Genomic DNA, 21284 nt, shown 5'->3' with positions numbered 1-21284 from the left:
TGTTCTGTCTCCTAGAACAGTAGGCAAGATGGGGAAGAATTAAGAACAGATATAGAGATGAACACTGAAGACATTTACATTTTTCTCCAGGCTAGGACTTTCAGTTTAATACCTTTTTGTTATACCTCATTTTAAATGGGAATATTTAACACAATTAAAACAGAATCTTGATTAGAGATTCGAAGCCTTCCTTCATCCGGAGTAGAGCTTTAATAGAAAAGTTTCATGAATGATTTGCTCCATTCTGTTGAACACATTTTTTTCCAGCTTAAAGATAATAAGTACTAAGAAAGCCACTTTAGTACTATGTGGAGATATTGATAGACTGTTCTCAAACAATTTGCAGTAGTGGGTACAGGGTAAATACCACAGGTTTTCTAGAAAACTGACTGCTAAAAGTCAAAGAAACTTTACCAAAAAAAATGGCTTTTTATTCCGTCAGTCAAATGGGAAACACTCTGATATATTTATTATTTGTTTATTTAAAAGCAGTATTTGTTAAATAACTACTATATTTCAGGAATATAGAATATCTATAACAGACAAGTGCATTTTAGGGGAAAAACTAATTAAATGCTTTATTAATAGGCTATTATTGAGAACTCTGGTACTGAAATTTAACCCCAACCCTTACCCCTTTAACTGCCTTCTCTATATTTGGGACACAAAAATCATGAGAAACAATAACAGAATACAAACTAAGAGTTTCCTCCTTAGGGTAGCACATACACACGGAGGACTAAACATCACACATTTAACTAGGAGACAGCTGACTAGAAACTCACTCTTAGCTTAAACGCTGAAAACAAGGAATTCCAGAGCAATCATTAAAACAGCAGGGCACACCAACAGGAATTTGTTTTGAAAAACAGAAGAATGTTTTAGAAACAAAATCGTTTGTGTTCTCAGTCCAAATTATGGGAACATAATAATGAGAAATAAATTCAAAAGTTAAAAGAATATATTAAGAAAAGGAAAGCATAAATGTATCATTAAAAAGGAAAGCTACATTTGAGGGCTTAAAGCTCTGCTGTGAGCAAAAAAAAAAAAAAAAAAAAAAAAAAAATGAACTGGGCTATAGAAAATTGAATCAATGATGTGGAAGTAATAGTAAGTCCATTCAGAATTCAGGTTAAAATGTGACCAATGCTGAGATAACAAAGAGCAAAAAAGAAAGAATAAAAAGTCCAATAAATACATTTGAGTTTCCTTAACAAGAAAGCAGAAGCAATGGTTTAGAAGCAATAATCAAAGAAATAATAGAAGAGTGTTTTTCTGAGGTGAAGAAAAAATAGGAGATTTACATAATGGTACATTCACATAAAACGGTCTTTTAAATCAGGTCTTTACATAATAAAGGACTATACTATACAAATGGAAAACAAAAATATTCAGAACTTCTGTTGCAGGATGTAGCTGATAGTTATTGCTTCAAAATATACAGTCCCCAAATACCAGCCGCATATTACAATATGAATTTTTTTTCTCACAGATCTACACATCCACCAGTAAAGCTCTGTGATCGCAGCTGGGTTCACTCACATGTCTGGGAGTCAGCTAGATTTAGCAGGGTAGCTCTGCTTCACTCCACGGGCCTAGGCTTCTCACGTGTGCTCCACATCTCATTCTGAGACCCAGGCTGAAGGGCAGCAGCCTCTTGGGACAGCCCTTCTCTTAACAATAGTGAAAACACAAAGGGCAGGTCAAAACAAGCAAGCATACAAGTCACTGCTTGCACCCCACTTCTTAACATTCTACCCACATGCCTGAGCTCCTTCAAGGACATTTTATATACGTATCAGCACTATCCAGTGAAGTCAATGAGAGCTGCCATTTCTCATAGGAACTCTAGTTTGAAAAAAAAAAATTGGGTCTTATTTGTAATGAAGGGAACGCCTATGTTCTCTGCCATAAAAAAACACTAATTCATGTATTCATATATGCCTTTAACAACTCTATCAAGTTGATATTTATGGTTTCAATAATCCTATTTCTACATCAAATGCAATGCATAAAGTTATTTGCAAAGGAGATAGTTTGAATTTTGTCCTCACTGAACAGAGAGGCAAATCTTAGTTCTGTTCTTTCTTTTCCTAATGTATTCTCTCTCCTTTTCCTCCACATTTATCTCTAAATATGAAAGTATGCAGTTTTACTTCAGTAAGATTTAGAATTACATCACCTCTATGACTCACCACTCACCTCTAGCAGAAGATACACAATTTTGGTTAAATCACTCCCAAAGTAATAAGCCTAAAGTCTTCTTTTCTGGCTTTCAGGAAGCCTAGAGAGAGTTGATCTGCTAATGAAATGCCATTTGTGTAACAATCCCCAGGTCTCTTATGAGTGTTGGCAATAAATGAAATTCAACAGCATTACAAAACAAAAAGTGCTATCACAAGAAAGGATGGTGTGTGTGCATGTGCATGTGTGTGTACTGCATTTGCATAGATAATTATTGGAGTTTGATAGACAGTTTGACATCTTTTAAAAAGTAATAATGTACAGAAAGTACAAGTCAGAAGAGGAGATGAAGGAAAATAGACACTTTCCTGTACTGTTGGTAGACATTTCAATGAGTGCAAACATTCCGGGGAAAAATATGACAATGCTTAGTGAACATTATTATGAATTGTTTTCACCTGAATAAGGAGTTTAAAAATTTAAAAATACATGCAGTTTAGAGAAGGTTGGATTTTACTGGCCAGATTAAAATGCATTATATCAAATGAGCAAAATTATTACATTCCAAAATAAGAATATTATTCCCAATAGCTCCAGTTGCAATAGACATTCTTTATATACATAACACTATAGTAGGAATAAGTGTATGCAAGTAAAATAAATAATATTGGAAGCCATGAAAGAGATTCTCCTATAGACTCTGAATTGGAAACAGTATTAAGGTGGAAAATAAGATTGTAGGCAACAGGGCTTAGACAGTAAATCAAGATAATTTACTGACCTTGACTGTACAAACATACTTTAAACGTGATACATTCTAGTCAGGATCAAAATTCTCATTTATCTATATCGCCTCACCTGTTCTGCTAGACACTTTGAAATAGTCTCAAACACATGTTTACATGTGCCAAACTGATTACAGATGAGTGAAACCGAATTGGATGCTATTACAAGAACATAAGTCCCGTTTCAAAGATACAGCTGCTACTCAGGAACAGTGTTTTTGTTGCCATAAAGGAGTAAAGACACAGTGGGCTAAGTTTTGAGTTTTTCAAGAAAATATAGAAGAAAAAATGTTTGCTTTGAATCTCCTAATTTTTTAATATTTTTGGTTTTACTTGGGAATTCAGGAACACAAACTCAATTTAGTAATATTACTCAGTATAGGATGAGCAATTCTAATCAATTCTGTAAGACCAGTTCTTATTTATAAATTTCATATTCATATTTTATTAGATTTCATTTTAAAATAATTTAATTATTTCATTTTATTTTTCCCTTCATCATCTTCTGGGTACATATACCTTTCTATTCCTTATGTACCTCTGTAATGATTTGGTTCTATAGCTGTGGTGTATATTGTTATAAAATACATTAATATTTACAAAATAAGCAATGTACTTTATGTATTTTTTCAAATTTACTTTAAATGGTAATGAGCTATTAATAATCTTTAGCAAAGTCGACATTATATTTTTAATCTACTTTAGTACTCCTTTGAAGAGTCCTATACGTTTTGTTTTGTTTGTTTGTTTGTTTGTTTTGTGGAGACGGAGTCTCACTCTGTTGCCCAGGCTAGAGTGCAGTGGCGCCATCTCCGCTCACTGCAGCCTCTGCCTCCCGGGTTCAAGCAATTCTCCTGCCTCAGCCTCCCGAATAGCTGAGACTACAGGCACATGCCACGACACCTGGCTGATTTTTTTGTATTTCAGCAGAGATGGGGTTTCACCATGTTGCCCAGGCTGGTCTCAAACTCCTGAGCTCAGGAAATCCATCCACCTCAGCCTCCCAAAGTGCTAGGATTACAGACGTGAGCCACCGTGCCCGGCTGAAGAGTCCTATATGTTTTAACTACTTACATTTCTACTGGTACTGTCATGGGCCAACTTATGTCCTCCCAAAAATATGTGTTGAAATTTCACCCTCTAGAACTTTTGAAAGTGACTTTATTTGGAAGTAGGGTTTTTACAGACTTAATTAAATTAAGGCAAGATCATTAAGGTGGGCCCTAATCCAAAATGTTTCATATCTTTTATAAAAGGGGGGAATTTGGGCACAAAGACAGAGAACAACACAGGAAGATAAAGGCAGAGATTGGGGTGACACATCTATAAGCCGAATGCCAAAGATTGCTGGCAAATCACCAAAGCTGGAAGAGACACATGGAACAGATTCTCCTTCATAGCCCTCAAAAAGAATAAACCCACTGACACTCTGATTTCAGACCTCTAGCCTCTAGAACGGGGAGACAATAAACTTCTATCATTGAACCCATGTAGTTTATGACCCTCTGTTACTGCTGCCCTAGCAAATGGATACAGGTAGCCATTTAGATTGTCTGATGAGCCCACTAACTAATGATCTGATAAATATATACTCATGTCTGTCCCTCTGGGGATTTGTGATAGTTTTTCTGAGTTATATGTCATAAAATAGGATAGCTGCATCATCTGGTATATATACAATCAATCTCACTAAATAATGACAGATTTCTCTTCAGAATCACTCTGTCGGTTTACACTTTCTCAGCAGTGCAGGACAATTGTCCATTCCCCAGCTTTCTGAGAATTTTCAGATTTGTCAGATTTTTTGTCATGTGCTTTTAGTATGCCCTGCATTTCCCCTGTCTGGAAATTACCTATTCATAACAATGAAGTTTTCTAATTGAAGAGTAGGATGATTCTCTACTTTTAATATTCAGAAGCTGTGCTGTAAGTACTTTCTCCCACTCTTTGCTCTTTTTAATCTTTTATGCTGTTCTTTGACAAATGGAAACTTTTATTAATATTTTCCTTCAGGAAAAATGCATTAATCTTTTCCTTTATGGTCTGTGAATAGAAATATATAGCTTAGGAATTATCTTCCTATTCTGAAATCATAGTGCTAACCTCACCAAATTGAAGCCTCTGATTCACATGGAATTTTTCTGTAGGGTGTGAAATAAGGATAATATTTGTTTCCCATGTTTCGGAAATATTTATTGTCTGATACATTTTTCCCATTGGGGTGCAATGCCAGGGACATCATACACCATATTTCCACGGATTCATATTTCTATTGCTAAGCTCTTGATTCTGTTCCATTCATCTATTCTTCTATCCATGAACCAACGTCACCTGGTCTTAAATCATGTTAGACCTACAATAATATATAGTAATGCATTTTTTAGCATTATATATAAATTTTAAAAGCAGTTTAAGTGTCACAAAAGTTCCTATAGGAATTCTGGTCAGAATTGTATTGAATTGTATTTATTTCAGAAGAACTGACATCATTTAACAGCTATAAGTCTATTGCCCAACAAGGATGTATTAGTCCATTCTTGCACCATCATAAAGAAATACCTGATACTGGGTAATTTACAAGAAAAGAGGTTTAATTGGCTCATGCTACCACATGCTGTACAAGAAGCATGGCTGGGGTTGCCTCAGGAAACCTATAATCATGGTGGAAGGCAAAGGGGAAGCATGCACATCTTCACATGGCTGGAGTAGATGGAAGAGAGGGGGAAGTGCTACACACTTTTAAACAACCAGTTCTCCTGAGAACTCACTCACTGTCATGAGAACAGCACCAGTGGGGAAATCTGCCCCCCCATTATCCAGTCACCTCCCACCAGGCACCACTTCCAACATTGGGAATTACCATTCAACATGAGATTTTGGTGGCAACAAAGGTCCAAGCCATACCAAAGGATATACTGGAGAATTGCACAAAATTATGTTATTTAGCCAGACACAGTGACTTGATCCTGTATTCCCAGCAACTCAAGAGGCTGAGGTAGTAGAATTGCTTGAACCTAAGAATTCAAGTCCAGCCTGGGTAATATAGCAAGAACTCATCTCAAAAAACATTATTATTTCCTGACAATTTAAATATGGATGTTTTAAAATACTATTCCAAAACAATTTTGAAAAAGAAAATCCTTTTTAAAACATAATAACAAGTAGTTTAGTTCAAAATAACTATTTTATATTGAAAATTTGAGAATTACATATTATGTAAAGAAATTGATTATAATAGAATGTACATACATATGTCAATATTTGTTATTCATATCTGCTTTTAATATATCCCTGGTTATTTCTGAAGTTTTTTTTTGTTTTACCATGCTCTTATTATTTCTTAGTTGTTCACAAAAGTGTATATCCCTTTCTTCAAAGTCACGTTTTGTGGTTATAAAAGTTGGAATTATCAACTTTAATCAGTTCATCTCTTTGGACCCAAATATGCTTTATAAAAATATTGCCACTATATATGTTAGAATTGCAATGTGTAGAACAACTACTATTAGAGAATATTGTCAGTTATAAACTTGTCATGTAAATATATAAATATTATAGCTTAAATTTTTCCAGAGTATCTGTCTTTTGGTCTTGTTTCACAGACTCTGTCTTTAGCAAACATGTGTATCAGACAACTCACCAAATAATAATTTATATTCTGATTATTTTGCCAAATGTAGGTGTGACAAAATTCAAAGATTTCTTATATTCCTTCAAATTTGATATAGGATATAAGCTGATTTAATTAAATGTAGGAACACTATCAAATGATTATTCTCACAAATTAAGATATTCCACATCACAAGGATGAATTTCAATATTGAAATTTGTACATCGTTATTTTTAGATACTCAATATTACATATTTTCTAAAATGTTGCTTAATGTGTACAGATTTGTTAATTTTTTGAAAAAATGTTTTTAAAATTTTAAAATGTTTTAAAATTTGGTTTTCATAAAAATATTTTATAGGCCCACCAATATAATAAAACTAATTATTTTGATCAAAAAAAGTTGTTAAATTATCTAATTTTAACCATTCTTTAAAGCCCCGTTTCACTCTTTAGAGTACCCTAATTGGACAATAAATTATATAGTCAGCTTATATACTACCAAATTCTTTGTAGTTTGGTTTTGTAACTTTTCTTTTTACTCATTTTCCTTTTTTTCTTCCTACAACTTTTGTTTACTTTCTTGTTTTACTATAAATACATATTCTTTTTTACTTTCTTGTTTTATTATAAATACATTACTTTGGATGAACAAACATCTCATCATTATTTAAATGTTCCTTGCTGCTGGTTGTTTTTTTTTAAACATATTTACTTCAAAGTCCCTGATTCCAACTTATCTTATATTTTTTTAATCTTAAAGTTTTGTTCATGAAAACACACACACACACACACTTAGAATAACACGCCCAGGGCCAAAATCTTCTAAGGATGATAATACCCTCAGGCACACTAAAACCATAGAGAGATGCTGTTGTTAGTCCCTTTTGCATTGCTCTAAAGGAATACCTGAAGCTGGGTAATTTATAAAGAAAAGGGCCTTAATTTGTTCACAGTTCTGCAGGCTATACTGAAAGTATAGCACCAGCATCTATTTCACTTCTGGTGAGGCCTCAGGGAGCTTTTACTCATGGCAGAAGGCCAAGTGTGAGCAGGACATCACATGGCAAGGGAGGGAGCAAGGGAGAGGAAGCAAGAGAGTGGGGGGATGGGAAAAACCACACTCTTATACAACCAGAGTTAACCACTCTTAAATTCAGAGCAAGAGCTCATTCATTACTGCAAAGAGGGCACTAAACCATTCATGAGGGATTCATTATTATCCAAACACTTTCTACCAGGCCCCACCTCCGACACTGGGGAATCACATTTCAACGTGAGATTTGGAGGGGACAAACATCCAGACCATATCAGGTGCCAATTACACCCTGCAGAATAGCTAAACTTAAAAATACTGACAAAACACTATTTACAAGGATGTAGAACACTTGAGACCCTGATATATTGAGAGTAAGAGTGTAGAATAGTACTTCCACTTTGAACAACTGTTTTTTTCAGTTTCTTATAACATGAAATTAATGTCCACAGGGGACTTCAGTAGCAAATGTTTATGATGGCATTATTGATAACAAAAATCAAAAAGTGGAAATCATGGCCAAAAACTGAAATCCATATGTCCATCAACAGTGAATGGGTACAAAATTTGGTTATATTATTACAATGGAACATTACTCAACAAGAAAAATGAGTGTGTTGCAGCTATATATAACAATATGGAGGAATCTTATTGACATTATACGGAGTGAAAGAAATGCGATACAAACACATATACATGTTTCAACATGATAAAAATGATAACAGTGGCTTCCTGGGTAGGAGGGAGTGCTGTGGGGTGAGTGGGTAATGAAAGTCATGGGGAAAAAGTATTCTTGATAGAGGGAAGGGTTTACACAGGTGTCACAGTCATCGAACTCTAAATCAGTGTGTTTTATTGTATGTAAATTATAACTTAATGAAGATGGTCAGAAATCCCATGGTTTTCATTTTTAACATTTCTAAGTTCACAAAAAATAACAGCAGAAACTATAAGCAAATCTGTATTTATACATAATCAATTTAAATATATTTTTCAGCATAACTAAATAATTGTTGTAAGCCAGTGATAGATTTTGGGGAATAAAAATACAACAAAATCAATAAAAATTCTCTTTGTTAAATACAATAGTCTGTTGGGAGTATTTAGATTTTATTCAATTTTCTTTCCTTGCTATTATTTTACCATGTAAAAAAAAAAACTGAGTAAAGAGATTTGATGCAATCATTCCCAACTCCTGTTAAGGAAACAAAGTTAAATAACTCTCTTATGTATGAAAAAATACAAACAAAGAGCAAATAGGGTCTACATTTTTTATTACCAGCCAACAGGCTTTACATTGGATGAATATTTCCCAAACTGTATTTCACAAAGCAGTAATTCCCCATAATATCTATTTCAAAAAATACAATTTTTTTGCAATATATCTTTGACAATTTTTGAATAAACGAATATGAAGGTGTGTATGAGGTATTTTAAGAAGTTGTGCACTATTTCTTAGAAAGTCAGGGAGTTGCTTACAATGTTACCTTGTATATAAATGCATTGACATTTATCCAAGGTGGCATTTTTCTTAAGGAACCTGCTGGTGGACATGTGTGTTGTCAAGTCTTTCTAAGTATGATTACATATGCATGTGTTTATTTCTGTATATGGCTTTTAAATATTCGTTATAAAGTATAAAAGTATAGAGTAGTAACCTAATTAATGCACACTAAATTGTCTTTTTTTCCATCCATAGCCTCATATCCCCACTACCCTATCACCTGCACCCTGCAATAACCTCCCATATAAACTATTTGCATTCGATTTCTTTTTCGAGGTTCTGCTTCATAGATAACTCAACCTAAGACAAACTTCAAAAGATATTTGTGTTTTTTATAACATGTCTTTTTTATGTGTTAAGAAGTTTAAAGTTCCATGTTGATACAGTCAGAATGATTTCGTGATCAGTTAATTTACCAGTGAGATGTTTTATTGTTTTCATTAATACAAACCTATATTTTAGTGTTCATGTTAATGCTCTGTCAGTGGATTTTAATTAAAGAAGTGTTCATGAGCTAAAGAAAGAAATGTTTACAACACATAATAGATCTCATTGTTATTTTTAACATTCATCTTCTTGATCGTAGAAATGTTTTTGATACACATAGCAATAATTTGTTCTTACAGAAATTGATACCTATTTCATATATGGAGTAGTTTCCAAGACTGCAACTTTTGGGGCAGTCCACTATTCAAGGGCTCATAGGGGATCTGATCTGTGAATATGAAATCCCATAGAATAGTGCCTAAACCTAAAAGACTCACTTTATGGTAAAAAGCAGCACAACAGTGAACATATGGCAGTGGGATCCATCCATTGACCATATCAACCAAAACCTCTCTGCCTGTAAGAGTCATATTGGTCTCTCTCTTTTTTTTTAATTAAAAAAAAAAAAAGCTACGATGTTGGCCTGGGGATGACACTTTCCAAAGTTTTTGCTCTATTCTCAAAGGTGCATTTTCCTATTTTGAGCGATGGCCATCAAATGGTGCTTTGTCCCCACTAACTAGAATACATGGATGATAAACTGGATATGTGAATGGACAATGGCTAGACCATATATAAAAACAGGACATTGACCCATAATCTGCAGCAACCAGTCCAGGAAGCCAAATAAGCTCTGTAACAATCAGCCCAAAACAATCAGGACTTAGTTAAAAACTTCCAGCTTCCTTAATTTTTGCCACCTTTATAACTTAGGACAACTAGAGAAGGCCAAATATGTTACCCAAGCCAATCACATAGGATTCTAGTTAGCCCATCTCCAGCTACCCTACCAACACTCTTTTCAGAGGATACCTGAAATCTTCCCTTTTTGTCTGTTATAAAACTTTCCTGTTCCCCTGCCTGCCATTGAGTCTTCACCAACTTTAGGGATTCTAGTGATGTTGGCTGCCTCCCCTGCTATAAAAATCTGTGAATAAAGAGTCTCGGCTTGATCTCACTTGTGTGGTCTTTGTTTATTTCCACATGGACCAGGAACCAAAGGATAGAAGGAGGGATGGCACCTTTCATTATAACTTCTAGTAATCCATTCAGGAAATTGTTTCCTATCCCAATATCTGTGGGCCTGCAGAATTAGTGGTTGCCTCGGTCTTGCAAGGTAGGTGGGCACTTATACCAGGTAGTAACTATGTTGTTACTTGGTTGCTTTGGACCACTCATCCTGATAGACCAGCAGACAAAGAAAGGAGTTAATATAAAAGCAGAAGTAATTCATTCTTATTATCATGAGTTCAGAGGCACAATTACATAGAGAAGGAATGTGGAGTTTGTCTGGAATTCTGGTTATTTACTGAATATCTCTTGCCAATTTTCTGCCTGGTGTCAGCCAAAATGAGCAATGGAAACAATCATGATGTCACAAAGGCATGGTCAGCACGAAGTCAGACCCATCGTGGGTGCAGGTCACAGCTTGCAAGCAAGCAAGCTCCACTAGCAGAACAGAACTGTTGGGTGTGGCTGAGGGGAATCTAGAACACAGGCAGAGGAGGGAGAGTATAAATATCAACTAACGCTCAGCACCAAATGCAGAAGTGGTGAACGCTGCTTGGTCTACCATCCTCTTGCTGTAAGTTTCGATAACTGCAAGAAGACACCACTTGAAAAACCAATTATCAGGATATCCTGAACTTAACATGGGACCCTAGTGGCTCTGAGCATTGCAAGGGGGCTCTAGTCGGCCCTGGCAGCACCTCACTCATCCTTTGCATTCTCATGCTTCCTACTATAAGGACATGTGCTTCTCAGCCTGTGTGCTTTCTTGGGCTGTAGGAGTAGGTGTATTAGTTTGCTAGGGCTGCACAGACTGAGTGGCTTGAACAGGATTTTTCTCACGGTTTTGGAGGCTGAAAGTCCAAGATCAAGGTGTTAGCAGAGTTGGTTTCTTCCAAGGCCTCTCTCTTCAGCTTGCAGGTGGATACCTTGTCTCTGTGTCCTCCCATGGCCTTTTCTCTATGCATGTGCATCCCTAGGGTCTCTTTCTCTTCTTCTGAGGACATGAGTCATATTGGACTAGGGTCCCACCTATATGACCTCATTTAATCTTACCTCTTTAGAGGCTCTGTCTCCACATACAATCACAGTAAGGGTTAAGGTTTCAACACATGAATTTGGAGAGGGTAGGGAAAACACAACTCATCCCATAACAGGATGTTTGGGGCAAGCATGCATAGGCACAGGCTAAACAGACCAATGGCTTGATGTCTCTACAAGAAGGGCTTATGCAATGACACAGCTTTCATGCCTGTTGGGTTACTTATTTCTGAGAGGTATTCCACACACTGTCCTAGAAGTCACCACAGGGAGTAGAGTAGTAACCTGATTAATGCACACTAAGTTGTCTTTTTTTTCATCCACAGCCTCATACCCCCACTACCCTATCACCTGCACCCTGCAATAACCTCCCATATAAACTATTTGCATTCAAGTTCTTTTTCAGGGTTCCACTTCACAGATAACTCAACCTGAGACAAACTTCAAAAAGATATTTGTTATCTTTTCGATATTATAATAGTTTTTACTACTGTAATTGATAGTCTTCCATACCTCAGTCACTAAACGAAAGTTTAATTCTTACTTATGTAAGACTAAATGGCATGAGGGGGTGGGTGTTAAGCCTGACAATTCAAGAACCCAGATTGATGGAGGCTTGAACAATATTCATTGTGTGACTTTCAAAGGTGTCCTCAGTACCAACATCCAACAAGCAAATGAACAAAGGAGCTGAAAATCATGTAAGTTATTTTTATTTTCCAGATGTGGCATTGGTCAGAATTTAGTCATGTGGACATACCAAACTGCAAATGAGGCTGGGAAATGAATTGTAGCTACATGCCCAGGAGGAAGGAGGTAGGTGAACAACTAAACAAACACTGCCCTGGACATTCTTTTCTAGTAACCACATACTTATTTCGTTCCTCTTCTGATAAAATGCAGCCCGACTTATTTCCCAAGCCTTAAGCTTCATCTTCTGAGGTGTACAGGCCTACCACTGACCTCCTCCCCTTGGCTCCAAATATGCCCCTGAGTTATGGCAATCTAGAAATTAAAAATAAGAAAGCCACCCACTACTATTCTTTCATACACCCAATGTACAATGTTGGAGCAAAAACAAAGAGAGCAATAAAAACTCAATCAAGAGGAAGCATCAGAAACACACAGTATTCTCTGGACATCATAATTTGGAAATATTTCAGCGAGCCTTATGGAATTCCCCTACCCTGGATGCAGGCACAGTTCATTAGATGACTATATTCCTGCTCTCTGAAAGGAATGAGATTCCATGTCTCTTGAGGCCCATGGAGTCACCTTCTGTGAGTTTCTTTGCATCCATTTTTCTCCATGGACACATCTGAAGTTGGTTTTGGCAACTTTCCCTGCTTACGAGTTTTACGGCTTTCGTGGCCTACTTCCTACTGGTGCATATTTGACTATTTAAAATTTGTTTTAGAATTGAATGGGTAAAGCTTTTTGAAAAATTGTTTCATTTCTTTAATTGCTTAACACTTCTGATGTGTATATTTTAAATCAGTTTCATTTGCCAATAATCAAACTTAAAGGTGTTTTGCTTTTTTTCCTAGGAATAATGATCAAGTCTAAGTTGCTTTTTTTCTGCCTTTCTCTATTTCATTCTCTTCAACTCGGAGTGATTTCATTAGTTCTGCCTGCATTTCATTGGACAGAGATGAGTCATATTACCATATCTAATTATTAATCTAAGACAGAATGAGAAAGGAAGTCTAGCTATGAGCTCAGAAAGGTAAATAAAATTATTGCCAATTGGTTTCTGCATTCTGTCTCATGAAATTTTAAGTAATTTTTATTTTGTTGAAATAATAATATATAAAATTACTTAAATATTGAACATTTGAAATATATTAGGGTGCAATTTTTTCATTTCTTTTATAAATATGTATTGTCCAATGTGCCAGGCACTGAACTAAGTGTTAGGTATATAGCAATAGATAAAACACACAAAAATCCTACCTTATATGGAGCTTACGTTAGTGCCAACAATTTACTTGACTTGCTTAAGATAAAAATGTGATGATAGACATTTGAAATTATTGCTTTCTAATTTGTATGCAGTTGTAAAGACGATTGTCTTCCTAGTAGAATAAAATTAGTTGGAGCAAAAATCATAGATGCTATATTGGACATTACCACCAATGAATTCTTTTTAGAGCAATTCCCTGAAGATATCCAAGTGGCAAACATAATTTTAATATCAAAGAAATTACTAGAAGGGCACAGCGGGAAAATTCATACTTAGTCAATTTAATTTAAATTATAAACTGCAGTAGGAAAACTAGTTTCAAAAAATCGAATGGAGAAGCACATGGAGAAAGCTGGTTCTAAGGTGGTTCCCAACATTAAAAAAAGAAACTCTCAATTCACTCCATTCACTCTTAGCTAATTTACTTGAATTTTTATAGGAGAAAAGCCACAAAGGCATTTATATGTATGAAGTTTGTGATTCAGCAATCTATTAATTAGTTTTTGAGGCTTAGCAAAATTTATATGAAGTCACTGAAAGTTGATAGGATTTATTGTAAAAATCAAAGATTTGTAATGAAATATTTTAGGATAAAGTTATAAAATTATTAAGAGTATTATATTATTTTTATAAATATATATAGGAATAGTTTAAATTCTATTGTTCATTTGTACAATTCGACATGCTGTTTCTAAAGTTTATATGCAAATGCAAAACACCTAGAATGGTCAATAACTTAAAAAAACGACCAACAAAATTGGAGGACTTAAACAACATGATTTGAAGATACACTATAAGGCTACAGTAATCATGATGATAGAAATAAAGTTTAAAAACTAGAAAAAAACAAAATACTGTCTCCAGATGTAGACTCACGTGTGTTTGATAAATTAATTTTTGATAGTGATGACAAGGTAATTCAGTATCAACAACAAAGACTTTTCAATAAACATTACTGGAAAAGGGAATACCCAAATAGGGAAAAAATTACACTACAATATTCACAAAAAAATTCAAGATGGGTCATAAGCTTAAATGTATAAGCTGAAGCCATAAAGTTTCTAGAAGAAAATATAGGAGAATGACTTTGTAATATGGAGGTAGAGAATAATTTCTTAGAGGAGACATTAATGAACCAAGCTGGGTTCAACCAGAGAAGCAGAACTTGCAGGATATGTGGATAGATAGATAGATAGATAGATAGATAGATAGATAGATAGATGATAGATAGATGATTTATTACAAGGAATTAACTTACACAATTGTAATGGATGGTTAAACAATCCAAAATCCATAAAGCTGTCAGTAAGAAAGGAAGATGGTGAGGATGAACTCCATGCATATAGGAAGCTGTTGTTCACAAGTGGAATTTCTTCTGCGCTCTTTCTCTCTCTCTCTCTCTATCTCCCCTACTTTCTCTCTCACTTTTATTCCTTCTCTCCTACCTAAGCCCAGTTTTTAAGGCCTCCTAGTTGATTCACTCAGCAGGCCCACCAAAAGTTTCCAGAATAATCTCCCTTACTTATATCTGCACATCGGCAAACTACTCTCACAATGATACTTAGATTAGTGTTTGAAAAACTAAAAACTGTTGGCAGGTCAAATTGATGCATCAAAAATTCCATCTTAAAGAAACAAAGTAATAAAATGAATTTCATTAAAATTAAATTTTTTGCTTATGCAAAATTACCATTTAGGAAATGAAAAGTTAATCCACAGACTGGGAGAATACAATCATAATACTTAAATCTTCTAAGTACTTGTATCAATAATACATAAAGAACTCCTACAAATATGAAACACAAGTAATTCAATAATAATAGCAAAAAGTTTTAAAAGACAGTTCTTAAGGTAGCACATATAAATGCCCAATAAGTACATGAAAAGGTGTTCAACATCTTTCATCAGCCAAGAAGTCAAATGACAGCAAAAATGAAGTATTTTTTGCCACCCACTGGAATAGCAAAACTTACAAATACTGAGACAGGAATAAATCAAGGTGGTCACAGGAGAGTAGAAAATTCCAGGTGGCAGTTTCAGATGACTAGCAAAGGGAAACTGTTGAAATATCTGCAGAGGCTAAGGGCAAATAAGACCCTCGAAAACAGGGTGTGGACCAAGCTGGATAAGACCAACTGACCCAACATGCTGCTGGATTTGACCTAGGTTTCACCTAGGACCTTATTATATGCTCATTACACACCCGCTAGTGCCATGACAGTTCTGAGAACACTCATGTTTGGTTAAAAATGGGTGGCACCACAGACCTGAGAAATCTCCACCTTTGCCAAGAATTTTCATGAATATTCAACCCCTTGGTTGAAGGAGCCCAGAAAGGTAAAACCCACTTGTGCATGTCTCTCTCTTGAGTACAACTGCACTCTCTTTTCTTAAATGTCTACTTTTTCCTTTACAATAAATCTCTGTACTTTCTTTCTTTTTTTTTTTTCTTTTTTTGAGACCAAGTCTCGCCCTGTGGCCCAGGCTAGAGAGCAGTGGAGCGATCTCGGCTCACTGCAGACTCTGCCTCCCGGGTTCAAGGGATTCTCCTGCCTCAGCCTCTTGAGTAGCTGGGATTACAGCCGCCCACCACCGCGCCCGGCTAATTTTTGTATTTTTTAGTAGAGACAGGGTTTCATCATCTTGGACAGGCTGGTCTTGAACTCCTAACCTCATGATCCACCTGCCTCGGCCTCCCAAAGTGCTGGGATTACAGGCATGAGCCACCGCCCCGGCCAGTACTTTCACTATTTCCTGACTCGCCCTTGAATTCATTCTCATGACGGTGTCAAGAGCCCGTACGACCCTGGGCTCAAGGTCCCATTGGCATTCAGGAACCTCCCCCAGCCTGCCAGTATCATAACAATACTAAGTGGGGAGAAATGTTGCTGAAGGGAGTGAAAAATGCTACAACTACTTTGGAATATAATTTGATAGTTTCTAATGAAACCTCACAAGTCCATATTTAAGTATTTAACCAAGAAAATGAACACATGTTATCTATATAAGTCTTGCAGATGAATGGTACTAGTTTCTTTCAGTAAATTAATAGGATCACTAGATTTTTAAGCTTGTTCTGAAATGACTTTTGTTTGTTTACAAATTTGTTACATTTCTATAAATTAAAAAGTCACTTATATTACAAATCCCCAGATATCAAAACTGTTGTATTATATTTTGTTCATGCTTCCTATAAAGACTTATACACCACATACACATGACTCTATAAAAATGGGTATTTTAAACTTCCTCCTTTATTATTAAATAAAACAAGGAACTTTTGTGAATTAAGAAGTAATAGATTTTATGACAAATTCACATGACTCAGAAAATATACAAATTGTAGTTTATCATAGAATTGTGTAAGGGCTCAAATGGTTGAGATTCTCATTCTGTTTCCTCTAATTATCCCTCCTTCCTCATCTGCATTTATGGAGAACACACATTGAGCAAAATATGTGTCTGTCCTACTGAGAAAGTTTATCAACTCTAACTCACAGAACTGAGAACAAATGCTGAGAGTGTTACTGTTTTACCAAGATGAACTTAACCAAACAAAGAGATAGAAACCAAATTCAAAGCCAAGAGCCTTACATATAGATAAAAATGGAGGAATGAGAAAATAGCATTTATCGGGGAATCATGAGTTAATTGTGTTACCAGGCTTTAGGGAAAGGGGCTGAGTGAGCAGTCAATATAATATTACATGAATAGTTCTTAGAAAATATCAAGGAAAAATATTTCCCATGGATTTTAACTGCTTGGATTCAGCGCATAGAAAACAGAAGAACACTTGAGTGTAATATTAATAAAGACCTTTAAAAAGATGTTATATAAAAAGAAAAAATCACAGGCCAATGAAAAATACATGCAAAATTCTAAATAACATTTTAGCAAACAAAATCTGGTGATTAAAAGTATAACACAAAAAAAAACCAAGTGAGATTTTTCCCAAGAATGTAATAGTAGTATAACATTTTATCAAGACATTTAAAAATAAGCATAAAAATAGATGTCTGAGTCCTGTTTATAAAATTTAAGACGTATTCCTCCCATCCAAGTACTAACCAGGCCCGACCCTGCTTAGCTTCCGAGATCAGACAAGATCAGCCACATTCATGGTGGTATGGCCGTACTCAAGAGCTATTCCCAAGGAACTAAAAAGTGTGATAAAATAAGAGTACGAGATTATCACTGAAAAGAAGTTCACAATTTCATGCACACACATAAAAAAGTCATAGGCCAAAAGCAATATAGACATGAGAGTCTGGGGGAGGTTAACAGCATCCAGTCTGGAGCCCGAGTACTTGAGGGTTATTCTGAGTTTCTCATATTTCTGTGGTCTTGAGCAAGTTGTGGGACTATCTTTGCCTCAAGTCTTTATATTGTTAAATCAAGTTTAGCCTAAAGCTGCCTTTTTACGTATTTTATGTTCAGCCTAAAGGTTTCTCTGTACATAGTGAACTGTAACCTAAATGAAGATGTAAACAGACTGAAGCCTACTTTTGTGCCAACCACCAAGTTTTGGGCAATCAAGGGCTAACTGTTCAAACCGTGTTCAAATAAGGCAAACGCCCACCAAGCTGCAACCAATTTGGTTGTTTCTGTACCTCACATCCATTTTCTGTACGTCACTTTCCTTTTTCTGTCCATAAATCTTCCACCACGTGGCTGGGCTGGAGTCTCCGAGCCTACACTGGCTCAGGAGGCTGCCTGATTCGCAGATCGTTCCTTGCTAAATAAAAGTCTTAAATTTAATTCACCTGAAGTTTTTTCATTTAATAGATGGCATCAGAAGTGGGCTCCAAAGTAGAGCATCTAATGACCCCCAGGAGGGCTGAGTGACTAAGCGAGATACCCACCAACAAGGACTAAACTCTGTTTTTTTTTTTTTATGTTGCTCAAATTCCTATCTAAGTGGTCTGGGGAGTCAGGCCCTACAAACCATAAATTCTCATCAGATGGGGTTTATTTAACTCTGTATATCATGACTTACTTTCCAATCTGACTCTGGCATAACAAGGAAGAAAATCAAAATACTTTACTCCAAAACATGTTTCTCTGACATATCTTGAAATGGCCCTGCAAAGCTATCCCTTGTAGGAAAAATCCACATTCTACAGAGAATCCCCTTCTCTGCCACCTCGCCTTTTTTTCCCCTTCCTTGCTTTCCAGATCCAGGGAATAATCAACTAAGAGACAGGCATCCTTTTAAATCCGATAAGAAACGTTTTACAACCTGCTCTCTCTGAAGTCAGCTATCCGAGAACTCCCGCTGCACAGTAAAACTTGATCTCCACAATCCTTTACCTTTCTTTTTTTTGAGATAAGAGTTTCACCCTTTTTGCCTAGGCTGAAGTGCATGGCGCGATCTCAGCTCACTGCAACCTCCACCTCCCAGGTTCAAGCAATTCTCCTTCCTCAGCCTCCTGAGTAGCTGGGATTACAGGCATGTGCCACCAGGCCCAGCTAATTTTGTATTTTTAGTAGAGATGGGGTTTCACCATGTTGGTCAGGCTGGTCTCAAACTCCTGACCTCAGGTGATCCACCCACCTCAGCCTCCCAAAGTGCTGGGATTACAGGCATGAGCCACCGCACCTGGCCACTCCTTCAACTTAACCTAAACATTTTCTTTCTGTTGATCCCAGGTCTTCAAATAAACTCAACCAATTGTCAACCAGAAAATGTTTAAATTTACCTGTAGCCTGGAAGCTCCCTGCTTTGAGTTGTCCCACCTTTCTGAACCAAACCAATGTATTTCTTAAATGTATTTAATTGATGCCTCGTGCCTCCCTAAAGTACATAAAACCAAGCTGTACCCTGACCACCTTGAGCACATGTTCTCAGGACCTCCTGAGGGCTGTGTCATGGGCCGTGGTCACTCATATTTGGCTCAGAATAAATCTCTTAGAATATTTTACAGAGTTTGACTCTTTTTGTCCACACCATTGTGGCCATTTCCCTCTCATAGCGACTGGGGATCACGGCAAGTTCTCTTTTAGATTCTGAAGCTCCACGGATTTGTGTTTTGGGGTCTCCAATGTCTTCGAGCAAATTTCTGAGCCAAACTGGGTTTGGAAGTCACAATAGAAACTGACTAGGTCCAGGATGAGATTGAATCTGATAATTAACTGGCTTGGATCCAGTTATAGGCCTCTTATGTCTGACTCGGTCAGAAAGAAACTGGTAGTAAATGGCAATATTGCAGGGGGTGTAAAATATGACTTTTGAAAATTCATGGGGATTTTTCTGTTCTCCTCTTTGTTTCATTTTTCTTGCATGCTTATATAGGAAAAAAATTATTAGCCAAGTTGATTAAGGGAAACTGATATCCAAAGCCAATATTTCAGGTAAAGATAGAACCCTTAGTTTTGGAAGAACTGAGTACCTTCTGGCTTATACATGCTGTGAACCCACAATATCTGAGACAGGTCTCAGTTGATTTAGAAAAAGTTAATTTTGCCAAGGTTGAGGATGCAGACCCGTGACACAGCCTCAGGAGGTCCTGACAACATTTGCCCAAGGTGGTCAGAGCACAGTTTGGTTTCATACATTTTAGGGAGACATGAGACATCAATCAACATATATAAGATGAACATTGGTTAACTCTGGAAAGACAAGACAACTCAAAGCCAGGAGGGAGCTTCCAGGTCATAGATAGATAAAAAACAAATGGTTGCACTCTTTTGAGTTTCTGATTAGCCTCTCCAAAGGAGGCAATCAGATATGCATTTAGTTCAGTGAGCTTTGGAGTGACTTTAAATAGAATGAGAGGCAGGTTTGCCCTAAGCAGTTCCCAGCTTGACTCTTCCCTTTAGCTTAGTGACTTGGGGGGCCCAATATTTATTTTCCTTTCACAATGCATAAGTATTAGACCTCAGAAGCAGCAAAGTCTTATAGAACTGGTGAAATCTTACTAAAGATAAGTTACTATGCAAGGTTCCAAATAACACTGCACTGAAGAAATGCATTTGAAAGTGAGGACTCCCAGATGAATTAGTCTCATCCAGGGGTACCTATTGATATGCAGAAGCTTCTAAAAAGATTTCAATATTTTTATTTAAAGATTTTACAAAAGGCAAATAAAAAGCTTAAGAAACTAATAGATAAGAAAAATTAAAACTGCTAACCTTTGCTTAGCCACTGTTCCACCCTAAAGGTGGCAAGAAAGCTATCCTAGATAAGATATTTTTAAAAGTTAGGCCCTCAGGTAAAATAGGTTTGCTTCTTGTTCAGACCTATCCATGGGGGAGACAAGGCATAGAGGATGCTTTCTTGACTCTATTCCCTAATGGGTTCCACGCTGAACTCAGTAATTTTAACTAAGAAACAGTGGCTATGTTAAAAAGAACACCATATTGAAATAAAATGCACCTTTCTGGAATTTAATTGGCTACTTTGAAACTCTTTTGTAAAAGAAATTTACATCTATAAAAGAAATCTCAATTTTTAAGGATGTCTGCCTAAGTACAATAGAAATTCTAACCATTCTTTTAAATCTAAGTAATAAGTAATGCCTTTGTTTAACGAACTTTTCTGGCTATCTTAAGTGAACTTTTACTTGAGCAGTTTTTCTTTTCCCTTGGTTTGAGCAAATGATGAATCAATACCTAGGCCGAGAATCTTAGCTCTGTGCTTATGAAATATACATGTTTTTTGTTTCACC

At 36.1% G+C, this 21284-nt stretch overlaps 1 long non-coding RNA gene and 1 pseudogene across 3 annotated transcripts in view, besides 1 other annotated feature; one reads left to right on the top strand and one right to left on the bottom strand.

Moving 5' to 3' along the window:
• Positions 522-1116: an enhancer, noted in NCBI's record as "OCT4-NANOG hESC enhancer chr6:153758212-153758806 (GRCh37/hg19 assembly coordinates)". NCBI's record gives its function as "activates a minimal SCP1, AML or CMV promoter by ChIP-STARR-seq in primed H9 embryonic stem cells {active_cell/tissue: H9 hESC(primed)}" and the evidence as "EXISTENCE:reporter gene assay evidence [ECO:0000049][PMID:30033119]".
• Positions 11029-21284, top strand: part of LOC105378066 (uncharacterized) — a 122515-nt gene continuing 112259 nt past the window's right edge. For all 3 annotated transcript variants that reach the window (NR_187985.1, NR_187983.1, NR_187984.1), the window contains exons 1-2: positions 11029-11190; positions 12378-12470. This is a non-coding gene — a long non-coding RNA (uncharacterized LOC105378066). The remainder of the gene's footprint in view (positions 11191-12377; positions 12471-21284) is intronic.
• On the bottom strand, positions 17621-17755 carry RNA5SP225 (RNA, 5S ribosomal pseudogene 225; annotated as a pseudogene).

This window comes from Homo sapiens, chromosome 6 (assembly GCF_000001405.40).
Source record: "Homo sapiens chromosome 6, GRCh38.p14 Primary Assembly".
NCBI classification, from domain to species: Eukaryota; Metazoa; Chordata; class Mammalia; order Primates; family Hominidae; genus Homo; species Homo sapiens.
This window is presented reverse-complemented; position numbering and strand designations above follow the sequence as displayed.